This window comes from Homo sapiens, chromosome 17, assembly GCF_000001405.40.
Source record: "Homo sapiens chromosome 17, GRCh38.p14 Primary Assembly".
NCBI classification, from domain to species: Eukaryota; Metazoa; Chordata; class Mammalia; order Primates; family Hominidae; genus Homo; species Homo sapiens.
Genome location: NC_000017.11, coordinates 32,690,519 through 32,706,329, shown reverse-complemented (window position 1 = coordinate 32,706,329; position 15,811 = coordinate 32,690,519). Strand labels below are relative to the sequence as shown.

At 38.2% G+C, this 15,811-nt stretch overlaps 1 protein-coding gene across 5 annotated transcripts in view, besides 1 other annotated feature; it reads left to right on the top strand.

The window, feature by feature from the left end:
* The window catches only part of MYO1D (myosin ID), a 384,603-nt gene that overhangs the window by 170,795 nt on the left and 197,997 nt on the right, over window positions 1-15,811 (top strand). The window lies entirely within an intron of this gene.
* Window positions 6,800-7,000: a silencer, noted in NCBI's record as "peak2803 fragment used in MPRA reporter construct". NCBI's record gives its function as "represses an SCP1 promoter by STARR-seq MPRAs in K562 erythroleukemia cells {active_cell/tissue: K562}" and the evidence as "EXISTENCE:reporter gene assay evidence [ECO:0000049][PMID:32103011]".

The window sequence follows — 15,811 nt, the reverse complement described above, 5'->3', positions numbered from 1 at the left end:
TCAAAACCAGCCTGGCCAACTATGGCAAAACCCCATCTCTACTAAAAATACAAAAATTAACCTGCTGTGGTAGCGTGCACCTATAATCCCAGCTACTCAGGAGGCTGAAGAACGAGAATTGCTTGAACCTGGAGGCAGAAGTTGCAGTGACCTGAGATTGTGCCACTGCACTCCAGCCTGGATGACAGAGTGAGACTCTGTCTCCAAAAAATTAGAGATTTATTGGTAAGTTGTAGAAGGTTCAGTCAAGAATGTTGACTGTATTAGTCTGTTCTCATGCTGCTAATAAAGACATACCCAAGACTGGGTAATTTATAAAGGAAAGAGGTTTAATTGACTCACAGTTCCACATGACTTGGGAGGCCTCACAATCATGGCAGAAGGTGAAAGGCATGTCTTAACATGGTGGCCGGCAAAGAGAGAGATGAGAGCCAAGTGAAACAGATTTTCTCTTATAAAACCATCAGATCTCATGAGACTTATTCACTACCATGAGAACAGTATGGGGGAAACTGCCCCTATGACTCAATTACCTCCCACTTGGGTCCCTCCCACAACATGTGGGAATTATGGGAGCTACAATTCAAGATGAGATTTGGGTGGGGACACAGCCAAACCATATCATTAACTAAAACCAGAACCTCCAAAATTTATCGTTCTTAGAGAGATACAAACTGTGTTACTTTCCGATGCATAAAAAAATGTATAGTCTTCCACTATCATCATCTAAACCATTAACTACTCAGTATCAAGAATTACAGATAATCGGCCACGTGTGGTGGCCCATGCCTGTAATCCCAGCACTTTGGGAGGCCAAGGCGGGCGGATCACGAGGTCAGGAGTTCTAGACCATCCTGGCTAACATGGTGAAACCCCGTCTCTACTAAAAAAAAGTACAAAAAATTAGCCGGGCATGGTGGTGGACTCCTGTAGTCCCAGCTACTCAGGAGGCTGAGACAGGAGAATGGCGTGAACCTGGGAGGTGGAGCTTGCAGTGAGCTGAGATCGTGCCACTGCACTCCAGCCTGGGGGACAGAGTGAGACTCCATCTCAAAAAAAAAAGAATTACAGATAATCTGTTTAGTGCATATTGTTCCTCTTAGTATACAGTCAGCCCGCTGTATACACAGGTTTCACATCCTGTGAATATTGTATTTTCTATCTGCATTGGGGTGAAAAAAAAAAATCTGTATGAGTGGACCCACGTAGTTCAAATCTGTGCTGTTTAAGGGTCAACAGTACTCAGTCGTGTATTTGATATTGTAAGGAATTTGTGAAATGAGTAGAAAGATCTCTTTTTTTAAAGAAATAACCATCTAGATTGCAAAAACTGTTTTATTGATTTTATAGTGGATAATTTATAGCAATACAAGTTCATGTTGAAAAATGAAAAAATATAATTTTATATTATTTAAAATATGTTATTTTATATTAAATGCAAATTTAAATTGTTACATCACTGTTGTGTAATACTTTTTTGTTATATCTTTACTCTCTACACATTTATTGCATATTTGTAATAGCTGACTTAGTCCTTCATAGGATTCCTCAATCTGCATTTCCTCAATCAGTCTACTATTACCAGGCATTTAGGCGTTTCCAATTCTTCACTCTCACAGGTCTCATTACAGTGCACATCCCCGTTTACCTAGAGCAGTGCTTGACAAGTACTAACAATTCAGTGAATGTTAGCTGCTGTTATTACTACTAGTGCTGCTACTACTACCATTGACTATTTCTAAATATCCTTGATTATTTTGTTGGAATAAATTCTCAGACACGAAATTGTTGGTTTAAAAGATGTACACTGTTAAGGTTTTCTATACCCATTTTCAAATGGCCCCTAGAAAGATTGTACCAATTTATGTTCCCACCAACTAATGTGGGAAGGAGTTTGTCTCACTGATGCACTGGTTATTTTCATTTTTTAGAGCACTCTTTGTGAATGACTGAAAACCTGAATGTTTTGTCTGAATATTGAAAAATGTGTTTTATAAAAAGCCCCAGTTATACTATACCCATTAAAAGAAATGAATCAATGTAGCCAGTGAGATTTTTATAAAGGTCATTCTTCTCTACCTTTCATAATGCACATTTGATTCACTTACCCATATACCCTCTACATTTGAGTTTGTGTGTGTGTTCCTTATATCACATTTGAATGAGAAATCACTAAGATGGTGTTTCTAGAAGGCACTGAAGAAACTATATAAGTTTTCAAAATTACAGCTTTAAGAAAGGAGGTGCTAAGAAATCAGTAAACTATGTTGTCATTTCAGCAGCAAACACGTGGATGGAGCTGAGTTGAAGTATACAGTGATTTAGCGTATTATGAGATAAATCTGTCCACACTGATTTTGTTATTTTAGCTTTTTTTCTTCTTCAACCTGGGCCTTTCTGGTTTGGGATTTATCATTCATCTTCTATGTGTCATATTCATTAATTCCCAGAAAATAGGACACTTATTTGTTGCATGGCTGGGGAAATCCTGAAAGAAGACTGTAGTTTTAACTTTTAACTAATAATTAACAATTAGCCAAATTTTAATGAAAACAATGTACCAAATGCATAACAAAGATTTATAATCCTCTAATATTCTGTAACCATTCAGACTAAAATATTTTGTTGTCTCGGAAGAGGAATGGGATATGAAAACCTTCAAAAAACTTCCTTTCTTTTTTGGTAGATATATAGTTTATAGTTATGTTCTCATTCTAGGGAATCATAGGGCAAGATCAAAATCGTCAATAGCCAGGCACGGTAGCATGCACCTGTAATCTCACCTACCCAGGAGGCTAAGGCAGGAGGATCACTTTAGCACAGGAGTTCAATACCACCCTTGGCAATATAGCAAGACCCCTATCTCAAAAAAAAAAAACAAGCAAAAGGGATCAAAATTTATATATAAAGTTATGTTAAGAATGGATTCTCAAAGGGAGATAGAAAAGAATTGAGAAAGTTTGTCTTTTGTGTCCATTAACAACAAATTTGGACAGGTAGATAAATTGAAAGAATAGATTTCTTGACCCACCTATAACACAAATAGGTGCCTTTGTGAATTGTTTTTATTTGGGGGATTTGGCCTTTTTTAAAGGGCATCTATAATTAATTATAGACAGAGATCTTAATTGCTCACTGTGTCACATAGTTGGACCATTTCAGATTGCATAGCTTTGATTGTAGCTCTAGGAATGGAAACAGCTCTTCCAGTGTAGTTAAGAGGGCAAGGCCTTTCCTCTGTCACTCACTGAAGGCTACTAAACATATAAATTATTTCTCAAAATGGTAATATCTTAAGACTCTAATCATTTTCCTCTGAGCAATTTGTAGGTAACTTAGCATCACAGTTACAGCTTATGAATTCTACAGCAGCAAGAACTGTCAACTCTTTGGAAATTTAAATTATGCTACCCCTTACCTGCTCCATGTTCCATGCTATGAGTTTTCCAGTTTTTATTTCAGGCCTAATTGTGGCTCGCAGCTTGTAGCATCCATGATACAGTGAACTGTGGGGTCCACAGTCAAGCTTGAATTTGAAGTCAGTTGGCAGTCTTCCATTGTAGTTGTGTGAAACTACAGACATGTCTTTATAGGAAATAATAGAAATACTTGCTATAAATATTCAGATGCATTCAGTCCCCAGAATGTATTTTTGCCTATCTGGTAGATTCCTAATTAGAGGATGATAGTAATTTGATTATTAAATCATTGCAAAATTGATGCAATTCCAAAAGCAGAATAGCACTGGGGGGCGAGGAGGGACAAAGGAATGAGTGGAGAAGAAAGTCTGTGGAAAGACGTGAAAGAGAAAAAGATATGAAAAAGATAAAGCCAAGAACAGGGAAAAAAAAGCCTCAAGCTAGTGAAATAAAATATTCAAGATATAGGCTAAAATTATATGATTGTTTCTAATTTTATGTGGAATTCAAAGTGGAATTATAGGGTAGTTAGGGATCTTTTCTTAATTCAAAATAATAAACATTTGACATTCCCCTAGCAAACTAATATTATGAAAATATTCAAAAATAGGGTATGTGATTTTATCAATAAATCAGTGCAGGCATAATGTATATACAAATAACAGGCACACCACGTACATATATGCACACAAGTATAATAGTGGGAAAGGAAATAACAGAAGCATGTAAAACTCAGCATCATTTTTGTGCTGGTTCATGGGAAAATTTTTTTCTGTTCTTATATCAGGATTAGCTGTACTTCTCCTGGGCCACTGTCCTCAAACTGGCAGGCATGTTATGGGGAGGAGCCAGGCTGCTGTGTAGCCTGCTTGTGAGCTTTCCTTAAGCAATGATGTTAGACAGCCTTGAAATATTCCTGCACTTAAGGGAAATGTTTCTAGTGGTTTCTACTTTTGATTGATACTGGTTGACATAGATACATTTGAACATGCAGACATGCTAAGGTAGTCATCTATTCCAGTTGTGTTAAGAGTACTGTACTTTGGCAGGGCATGGGGGTTCACCCCTGTAATCCTAGCACTTTGGGAAGCCAAAGCTGGACTATTACTTGAGGCCAGGAGTTCGAGACCAGCCTGGGCAACACAGCGAAACCCCATCTCTACAAAAATAAAAATAAAATATTAACTGAGCATAGTGGAGCACACCTGTAGTCCCAGCTACTCAGAAGCCTGAGGCAGGAAGATCACTTGAGCCCAGGAGTTCTAGGCTATAGTAAGACATGATTGCGCCACCGAACTTCAGCTTAAGTGACAGAGTGTGACCCTGTCTCTAAAAAAAAATGAAATAAATTTTAAAAAGAGTAATGTACCTTAAAAATCAAGAATAGATGAATTATATCAAATTACTTTTCAACAGATATCAAGATGCTTATGTCATTTTTTTCTCTTGAATTATCAATACAGAGAATTCTAACCAATTTGATAGCAATATGATGTTTACCTAACAAGATAAAATGGACACTTTTCTTTTTTTGTCTGTATTTTGGAACAGTCTAAATAGCCTTGGAGTTAATCTTTTGAGGTTAAACTCCCTTGTGAAGCCATCTGGAAGGGGGTATTTGTTGGAGTGTACCTCTTCAACAGCTTACTCTAGTTCTTTGTGATAATTGATCTGTTTTTATTTTGTGGGATTAATTTTGGTAATTTATATTTTCCTAGAAAATCATTCAGATTCTCTAATTTAATTGAACAGAATTGAACGAAGTAGTCTCTTACATTTTCTTCTCATTTCCTTTGAATCTGTAGTCATTCCCTCTTACCATTTCTTATTTTGTGAATTTCATTTATGCTTATTATCTTTTTTCTTTATCAGCTTTAGTTAATGATGTATTGTATTATTTTTTCCTCAAAAAATCACCTCTGATTTATTTATTCTACTATTTTCTTTTTTCTTTTTTTTTTTTTTTTGAGATGGAGTCTTACTCTGTCATCCAAGCTGGAGTACAATGGCGTGATCTCAGCTCACTGCAACCTCCACCTCCTGGGTTCAAGCGATTCTCCTGCCTCAGCCTCCCAAGTAGCTGGTATTACAGGCGCACACCACCATACCTGGCTAATTTTTGTATTTTTAGTAGAAACAGGGTTTCACCATGTTGGCCAGGCTGGTCTCGAACTCCTGACCTCAAGTGATCCACCTGCTTTGGCCTCCCAAAATGCTGGGATTACAGGTGTAAGCCACCGTGCCCAGCCCATTTTCTGATTTCTAATTTGTTAATTTTTTTATCTTCATCAATTCCTCTCCTTTTTGGAATATAAAGAGCAGAGGCAATCAGTTTATCTTTCTCCAACTTCTGGAGTTGAACACTTCGTTCAGTTTTTTCTTTCACATTTATTAGTAATGAACTGTGAAATTTTTTGTGGATCTGCTTCTGCTGTATCTGTAGCAGGGGTCCCCAACCCTTGTGCCACGGACTGGTACTGGTCCGTGGCCTGTTAGGAACTGGGCCCCACAGCAGGAGATGAGCAGAGGGCAAGCAAGCTCCGCGGCCTATCAGATCAGCAGCGGCATTGGATTCTCATAGGAGCAGGAACCCTGTTGTGTGTGAAATGCCCATGCAGGGGATCTAGGTTGTACACTCCTTATGAGAATCTAATGCCTGATGATCTGATGGAACAGTTTCATCCCGAAACCATCCCCTACCACCTCCCAGTCCATAGAAAAACTGTCTTCCATGAAATTGGTCCTTGGTGCCAAAAAGTTGGAGACTGCTGATCTGTAGGACCTGATATATTATTATTTAATTATTTTTTATGTTTACATTTTCTCTTTCCCTGAAAGTTGTTTAAAAAAATTTTTTTAAATCATTTCCAGGTGATACATGTTTTGTGTGTGTATTTTCTTTACTTTTCTAATTTTGTTCTTAATTTTTTAGTTTCACTGCTTTATGATCACAGAATGTTAAATGTTCCATTTCTACTTTCTGGAATTTATTGAGGTTTACTTTAGGGCCTGGTGTACAGTGATTTTTTGTGAGTATAATGTGAAATAAGGTATATGTTATTTTTTAATATTTTTATTATGGAAAATTGCAAATATTCACAAAAATAGGAAGAACAGTTTAATGAATCTCCATGTTTCCATCACCCAGATTCAACAATTAACAATATTTTGTCATTCTTATTTTATCTAATTCCCACCTCATGCTTTTATGTATGTTTGTTTTGGTTTGGTTGAAGTTTTTAAAGAACATCCCAGATATCTTTTGTCACCCTTAAATACCAATCTACAGATAAGGACTTTATAGATAAGGACTTCATACTGTTATCATACCATATAAAATTAATAATTAATAGTTTCTGTTCATTGTTCCCAGTTGACTGGAAACTATCTTTTCACAGATGGTTAGGGATAGGCGTGGCCACCCCCAGAGCTGAGACAGCATTGAGAAAGGAGCACACTCATCTTTATCAAAGGGCAGCATCAACACCTAAGGCAGTGAGTGGTTCCTGGCAGTCTGACAGTTATCTCTGTCATTTGGGAGTTTTGTTCCCATATATTTCAGAAACTTGATATGTAATATTAATTATGATTTTCAGTGACATATCATTTCATCTTTAAAAATTGAATGTTTTAAAGGTGGCTTATGGGCTGGGCACGGTGGATCATGCCTGTAATCCCAGTGCTTATTTGGAGACTGAGGCAGGGGGATCACGAGGTCGGGAGTTCGAGACCAGCCTGGCCAACATGGTGAAACCCCATCTCTACTAAAAATACAAAAATTAGCCGGGCGTGATGACACAAACCTGTAATCCCAGCTATTCAGGCTGAGGCAGGAGAATTGCTTGAACCCCGGAGGCAGAGGTTGCAGTGAGCCAAGATGGTACCACTGCACTCCAACCTGGGCGACAGAGCAAGACTTGTCTTGAAAAAAATTAAAATTAAAATAAAATAAATGTGGCTTATGTATGGCAAGGAGTGGCGTCTTTAGTTTGTCTAAATTAACAATTTCATATTATTTATATGTTCTTATATTTATTTGTTAAATTTGCATTTTGCATTTTTTATTATTGGATTATATTATGGCTTTAGCTCCCTTATCACAAGAAAGATCTTGTGAAGGATTAAAAGTGGCTCATTAAAGCATAAACATATAATGAAAATAGTAAATTCTGAAACTGAGAATAATATAATAACTGTTAATTATAAGTAGACTCAAAGATTAATATAGTGTAATCATTTTCAGTGAGTACGATAATTTTGTAAACCAGCCAAAAGAAAAAGTATGAATAGAATCATTATCTGAAAATTGGATTTTATTGGTTTTGTCATTCATTTGCCTAATGTTTTATTTGTTAGGAAACTGTCAGATAGAGACATGAAGTGATGGGGGCTTTCATATGATTTCTAAACAAAGCACTCTGACTTCTTTGTAAAACCAATCAAGTGTTTTATTTCTAAGACTAAAAGCAAAATAATTATTTCTCATATAAAATTGATTACTTTTGTCCTTAAAAAAGAAAAGAAGGAAGGAGGGAAGGGGGAGGGGGAGGGGGGAAGAGAGGGAGGGAGGAAGGAAGGAAAGAAGGAAGGAAGGAGGGAAGGGGGAGGGAGAGGGGGGAAGGGAGGGAGGAAGGAAGGAAGAAGGAAGGAAGGAAAAAGAAAAGAGAAAAGAAAGAAAACACAAAACCTACTGATATGGTAGCTAGTATTTCCTGAGTGATAGGCACTACTCTGGATACTTTACTATTCTGGTTATTTAACTAAGTCATTACAAGAACCTTGTGAATGAGTGTCCATTATTATTTCCATTTAATAGATAAGGGAGCTAAAGCCACTGAGTGGTTAAGGACCTTGGCAGAGGTCACACACGGTAAACACCAGAGCTGGGATTTGAACCTAAGAGGCCTGCTTCCCACACACACTCTTTTGACTGCTGTACACTTTTGTACCATAGTGGCATCATTCAAGAAACAGCTATGACTCACACTATTGAAAAGTTTGAAAAACTAGTCACAAAGGTGATGTGTTCAGAGGATGTCCTCAAAGGTGATGTGCATCATGCTCACAAAGAAAGCAGAATGCAATTTGCAAAATTGCTTTATTAAATAGCCTTGGTAAAGTGGTAATGTCTTCTGAGTTATTCACTGTCAAGTATGTGGACTAAGATACAGTAATACAATTGGAAAAAAAACCCTGATGTTGATGTATGAATCAGCTCTTGACACGTGTATAGTAACAAAAAGTGATCGATGACTTTTTTTTTTTTTTAACTGAAAATACATGCTCCAGGAGAAGAGATTTTTGTTTGTTTTGGAAAAAGTGACTTTCGAGCTATGGCTAGGTTGGGAAAGGTGCATTTACAAAGCGACCAAGAAAGCATCAGCTGAAACAGGAAGCTGGGGTATGCTACTAGGCAATGAAAGAGGTTGCCCCCAATGCTAGTCCATTCATTGCTTTATTGATGGGGAATATTTATGGTCAAAAATATGCTGCTTGGTCTTGACTGAGTGTTGAAAGAAACAAAAGCGTACCTTTGATTGAATGGTGGCCATTGACTCCGTATTTTTCCAGTATGCTGTGAGAAGAAATGGGTAGCATTTACAACACTGTGACATGTGGCTATGCAGGAAAAGGTGCTCACATGCATTTTAAAATGAGTAATAAATGTGGATTTGTTCATTCATTACTGAATGGAAACATGAAAAGGAACAAGACAAAGCTCCATCCAGAAGCTGACAACCCAGCCAGGGGGCAGATGTGTGCACCCAAACCAGTGAAATGGAGTAATTACGAGGCCCTAGGGTAGTAGGCAGTGACTGCAAGGTGGGCTCAGAGAAGAGGCACCTACCTGAGCTGGGGAGAGGACACTTTCTGGAAGAAGTTTGCCAAAATCTTAATTAACTCTGTTAGATTCACATCTTACTTGGAAACACATTAACAGGGAGGACAGATCTTAATCTGTATTTCATAAGCCATTTATACAGATTGAGTTAATTAGAGCTGGAACTTGACATTATAGTGGGTTAACTGTCACTAAAGCTAGTGGGTAAAATGGACTTCCTTTGACAAATGTAGAAAGCAAAGTTTTCTACAAAAATATTCAAACAAATATTGTTTTCTGTAACAAACATAGACTAGTCTTAGTCTTTGGAATTACTAAAACAGCCTTTCCATATCACAGGAAAGTGCTTGCCCTGCATAGCAAACAGCCAAATGGGTAACTAGCAAGCAAACACATGTGGCAGCAGTGCCACGTAGAAGGACAGAATTAAACTTAGAATAACTTGAATTTTATAACAGGTATATAAATATTTACTAACCCTTTCCTTATTTATCTAACAAGATGTAAAGAGCTAGCTCAGGACTTGTCTTCTTAAAGCACCTGGATCAACAAACTCCCATTCTGTCAAGGTTCCTCATTACTAACTACTAGTTGAGCTTGGCAGCCTCTAATTTGGTTATACTTTTTTTGTCATAGTGTATAATATTCTGTTTCCACATTATACTGTCCATAGTCTTCTGCAAGTTGTTTTTTTTTCCACTCAGAATAATGTTTTTAAAATTTGTATAGGTCCATAAGTGTACTAATGGCTTATTTACTTTTGCTTGTTATTTTACTATTTAAAAGTCACAGTTAATTTCCTAATAATAGTCAGTTTTTCAGTTTTTTGTCATTCTGTGAAATGCCACAGTGAACATTTTTGTACATATTCTCTTGTCTGCAAGTGAATAGGTCTCTGTGGGGCTGCCATTCTCAAATTTTGAGAATTCTAAAGAGCTTACCTTAGAAAATTCTACAAAATGCAACAATATGCAAGCACATATTCCATTAGCTATCAGAGTGATGATGTCATCACATGTGATATAGTCTCTGGAAAATTCTATCATAGGCTGAGAGGGTGAGAATTTAAAAGGCAAATAACCTGCTGGTATTCTTAGAAAATTAGTTTTTATCTTGAAGATCCCCTAAAAGTAAAGGGTCTCAGCAGTGCTCAGGGTTCCCCAACCACACTTTGAGAACTGCTACTCTTGGGTATATACCCCAGATTGCAAATGCTAGATTGTAGAGTCTGCACATTTTTAAGTTCACTAAAGTTTGCCCAGTTGCTTTCCAAAATAATTGTACCAGTTTATGCTCACCAAGAAATGTATGAAAGCTTTTATTCTTCTACATCCTTATCAACAATTCACATTGGCAGATTTTTTAATTTTGGCCAATCAAATTTTGATCCCTGAATATGACCGTTACTTTCTTACAAGCTCAGCTGTGCATAGGGGTATTTGTTACATTGTTGTAGCAGTAGGGATATCAAGTTATCTATTCTACCTTCTTGCCCTACTCATTGGAAGTCCTACTGGAAGTTTAAGAGAGAAGTGGTGTGGTCAGTTTGTGACTGTTAAATAGATCTGTGTCAAGGAAACATTAGAAGTCAATAAGACAAGGAAGGATGGCCAATTAAGAGCCTGTTGCTGTAATCTAAGGCAGGGGTCCCCAATCCCCAAGTGGCAGACTGGTACTGGACTGTGGCCTGTTAGGAACCAGGCCGCACAGCAGCAGGTGGGCGGCAAGTGAGCAAACATTACCACCTGAGCTCCGCCTCCTGTAAGATCAGTGGCTCATTGGATTCTCATAGGAGCATGAAGCCTATGGTGAACTGCGCATGCAAGGGATCTAGGCTGTGCGCTCTTTATGAGAATCTAATGCCTGATGATCTGAGGTAGAACAGTTTCATCCTGAAACCACCCCCACCCCCACCATGCCGGTGCATGGAAAATCTTTCTTCCACAAAACTGGTCCCTGATGTCAAAAAGGTTCAAGACCACTGATCTAGGGGAAAGCTGATGAGAACTTAAATTGCAGCAGTGGTAGTTAAGATGCAGAAAAATGTGAGAAATATTTAGGAGACCATGAAATAATTAGCAGACTATGATAGTTATTGGACAGGAGATTGATGAAAGGCAGGAATCAATGATTCCCAGGTTTCCACCATAGAGTCCTGGATAGCTGGTATCACTGACAACTGAGATAGAGGTAGAAGGTACAGAAGCAGGGGCATATCTGGAAGATGGTAGTAGTGTGGGGTATGATGTGTTCGAGGTGCCTATGAGGCATTCAAGTAGAGATGACCAGCAAGCAGTTGGATATATGAGTCAGAGAAACAAAAGAAGTAGCAAATTTTTTTTTTTTTTTTTTTTTTTTTTTGAGACGGAGTCTCGCTCTGTCGCCCAGGCCGGACTGCGGACTGCAGTGGCGCAATCTCGGCTCACTGCAAGCTCCGCTTCCCGGGTTCACGCCATTCTCCTGCCTCAGCCTCCCGAGTAGCTGGGACTACAGGCGCCCGCCACCGCGCCCGGCTAATTTTTTGTATTTTTAGTAGAGACAGGGTTTCACCTTGTTAGCCAGGATGGTCTCGATCTCCTGACCTCATGATCCACCCGCCTCGACCTCCCAAAGTGCTGGGATTACAGGCGTGAGCAAATTTTAAATAAGAAGAAACAGTCAACAGCATCAGACATAGTAGGTATGTCCAACACCATAATGGCTGAAAAGTGCCCACCTAGTCTGGCAATTAGTAGGTCATTGGTTTATTAATAACCGGCATGTTAAAGTTGGGTCAGGATGAGCTCAGAGTGTAGAAGAAAAACCAATTGCCAAACTCCTCCGGCGAGGAAATAAAAGTGTTTTGAACATTTGTTGGTGAATCATGGAAATGAAAATAGGTATAGCAAAAAGGTGTCCGTAATGAAGAAACTAAGAAGCGTTAATTTTCCGTAAGACATTTAGTAAATGTTGAAACACTGAAGACTTACCCCTACATATATTACTAAGCAGCGCTATTAGAATAGCATTACTATGTACAAGTCACTGAACTTACTATGGGGAAAAAAATTTGGTCGATTTATAATATAAGCCTATAACTGGTCCATTTAGTATTTAACATATTGGCAAATGTAAAGCCCTTTTAGAACAATAAAAATGCTTCAGCAACAACTTAACATTGAAGCAACAGTACATTCCCTCACACCCGGCCCCACTCTCCTTTTTTCTCTTCCCACCTACTTGGTGAATAAAACGATAAAAGCATATTTGGAAAATAATGGTGACATGTCAAAAATAATTTGTTTCTTATTTATCTCCTCTCAGACACTGCCAATAAGAAACCATTGCCACTCCATCCCCAGCCCACTCTGCTGTAAGTTGGAAGCAGATGATTTGCTCTCCTGAAAGAGCAGCAAATCCGTTGCCTGGGTGATATCTCATTACTAAGGCAACCAATTTGGCGCATCAGTGTGAATCTCAATTTTAAAATATAATTATGCCAAGAGATGTACATATGCTTGAGGTTTACTTAAAAGAAATCTGTTCGCCTTTGCAAGGAAAACATTTCCTATGTTAGGTGAAAAAAGAGGGGAAATACCACTTTTATTCTTTGCTAGCTAAAATACACCTTTCAATTGAGCCCCCACTATGTTTAGTAAAACAGCTTGCATTGGTTTCTCCCTCACCACTTTTTTTTTTTTTTTTACTTGAGGTGTTCCCTTTCCAAGACACTTCTCTCTTGAGACTTGTCACTCATAACCCAACAGCTGTTGTCTCCATGACAACATTTTCTGGCCCCTATAGGTGGTGATAGGAAAAAAAGGAAGGAAAAAAAAATGGCTACATATTCATTTCACTTTTCTTTTTTAATTGCTACAAGCTCAAGAGATTTGACTCTTTGTAAGGAATTAATTAATGAAGGGGAAGTGATTTCGTGAATAGATGCTTAAATTAAATTACAAAACTTCTGAACAATTTAATGAGAATTGCTATCCCAACCTCAAATGAAAGGTCTTATAGTTAAGATGTATACAATCAAAAGCTTGTCTGGAGGAAGACTGTATTACAGAGGTAGCTGAAGATGCGCACAGCCAAGCCATGTAAAATCCCAGTGAATTACTGCTGAGCAATTATTTTTTTCTTCCTTGCCAACAATAAAACATTTGTTTAAAAATAAAAAGAGCATATTTTGGTGGAGGGAGTATTTAATTATCAACCTTATTAAAGAATGCCTATTAAATCATGAAATCCTTGCAACTCATTAAGTTTCCTGTTTGCTGTAGATGCCAGGAAGCTCAGGGCTCAGATTTATATGTAAGTCCAGGAACCATCCTCAGTTTGGGAGTTTCAGTGGAACTGACTCCCTTTCCTTCCTACCACCCTGCCCCTGTTGCCCGGCTGTCCTTTTATTCTTACTTTGGTAATTTAGTTGTCTGTATACCTTTTTTTGTAAGTTCCCTCTAATCCTTTTAAAAATAATTAGATAACAAGTATTAAAGGCAATGATGAAAATATTTTATTGTAATAGCCGTTCACTGCTTAGTCACCATGCTGACATTTAATGTAAAATATCACCCTAAAAAAGATTTTTTTGAACAGACTTTTATGAAAAGAAACAGCTTTTCTAAAGTATGTAATTTTGCCACGTATTTCATTGAGCTAAGAAACTTTATGGGTGACAAAATATATCCTGTTTACCAAGTTAGGTACATAATGGCATACATGTGGTTTAAGTGTGAAGCCTACAGTATTGAGGTTTATTTTATTCTCTTCTTGCTATAGCAAATGTATATAACTACTACCAAGAGATCTAAGTGTATCAAAAATTGCTCATATTCTTTGTCATGGCACATGTAAACACATTCTGCTTGGACTATCAAGTTTTGCTAACCTAAAACAGAAAGTTTATGAAATATTCAACATGTTCTGGGAAATGTGTATATTTAGAGCATTCAGTTTCTATTAACGAGGAGCTATATAGCAGTCTTAAGCTATATTTTTAAAAATTTCAGCAACTGCAGATTATGAATACCTTTAATATACAAAAGGTCCCTCCTAAGAAATGAGATAGATACCTCACTAGAAAACTGAACAAAAATATGGACACTCAGACCACAGAAGAAGAAAAATGGCCAGCAACCATATTTTCACCTACCAAATACTCGGGATTTTTCAAAATATCATACACAGTGTTGCTAAGGATGTACACTACTGGCATAAGAGTAAATTGGTGAGAACTTTCTGGAGGGGTAGTTTGGCAATGTGTTTCCAAAAAATCTAAAAATTATATTTGCCTCTAATCCAGCAATTATACCTCTAGAAATTAATACTAAGGAAAATCTTAAGAATATATGTAAAACTTTAGTTGTAAGAAATTTTTTTGTGGCCAGGCATGGTGGCTCACACCTGTAATCCCAGACTTTGGGAGACCAAGGTGGGCGGATCACCTGAGGTCAGGAGTTCGAGACCAGCCTGGTCAACATGGTGAAACCCTGTCTCAACTAAAAATACAAAAATTAACCGGGCATAGGGGCAGGCGCCTGTAATCCCAGCAACTCGGGAGGCTGAGGCAGGAGAATCGCTTGAACCCAGGAGGCAGAGGTTGCAGTGAGCTGAAATTGTACCACTGCACTCCAGCCTGGGCGACAGAGTAAGACTCCATCTCAAAAAAAAAAAAAAAAAAAAGAATTTTCTTTGCAACATTTCTCATGACAGTGGGAAATAATGAAGACTCTTAAATGTTAAGAAGTTAGTGGAGATGAAGAGCGATTGGCTATGAGTACAAACATACAGTAAGATAGAAGAAATAAGTTCTTTTTTTTTTTTTTTTGAGGCAGTGTCTTCTTGCTCTGTCACCCAGGCTGGAGTACAGTGGTATGATCCTAATATGTTGCAGCCTTGAACTCCTGGGCTCAAGCAATCCTCCTGTGTTGGCCTCCCCAGTAGCTGGGTCTACAGCCAGGTGCCACAACATCTGGCTAAATTTTTTTTTAAGAGATGAGTTCTGACTATCTTGCCCGGGCTGGTGTTGAACTCCTGGGCTCTAGTGATGCTCCTACCTCAGCCTCCCAAAGTGCTGAGGTTACAAGCATGAGGAGAAATAAATACTAAAGTTTGAGAGCCCACTAGAGCGACTGTACTTAGCAACAATATAATGTATAAGTCAAAGTCACTAGAAAAGAGGACTTTAAAGGATATGGTGTTAGTCTGTTCTTGAGTTGCTATTAAAAAAATACCTGTGGCTGGGTAATTTATAAGGAAAAGAGGCTTAATTGGCTGATGGTTCTGCAGGCTGTATAGGAAGCATGGTGCGGTCATCTGCTCCTGGTGAGGCCCTCAAAGAGCTTCCAATCATTGCAGAAGGCAGAGGGGGAGCAGGCATCACATGGCAAGAGCAGGAGCAAGAGAGGGAGACATCTCATGAACTAACAGAGCAAGAGGTCACTCATCACAAAGGATATGGCACTAAGCCATTCATGAGGGATCTGCTCCGTGATCCAGTCCCTCCTACCAGGCCCCACCTCCAACACTGGGGATTAAATTTCAACTGGAGATTCGAAGGGGATAGACA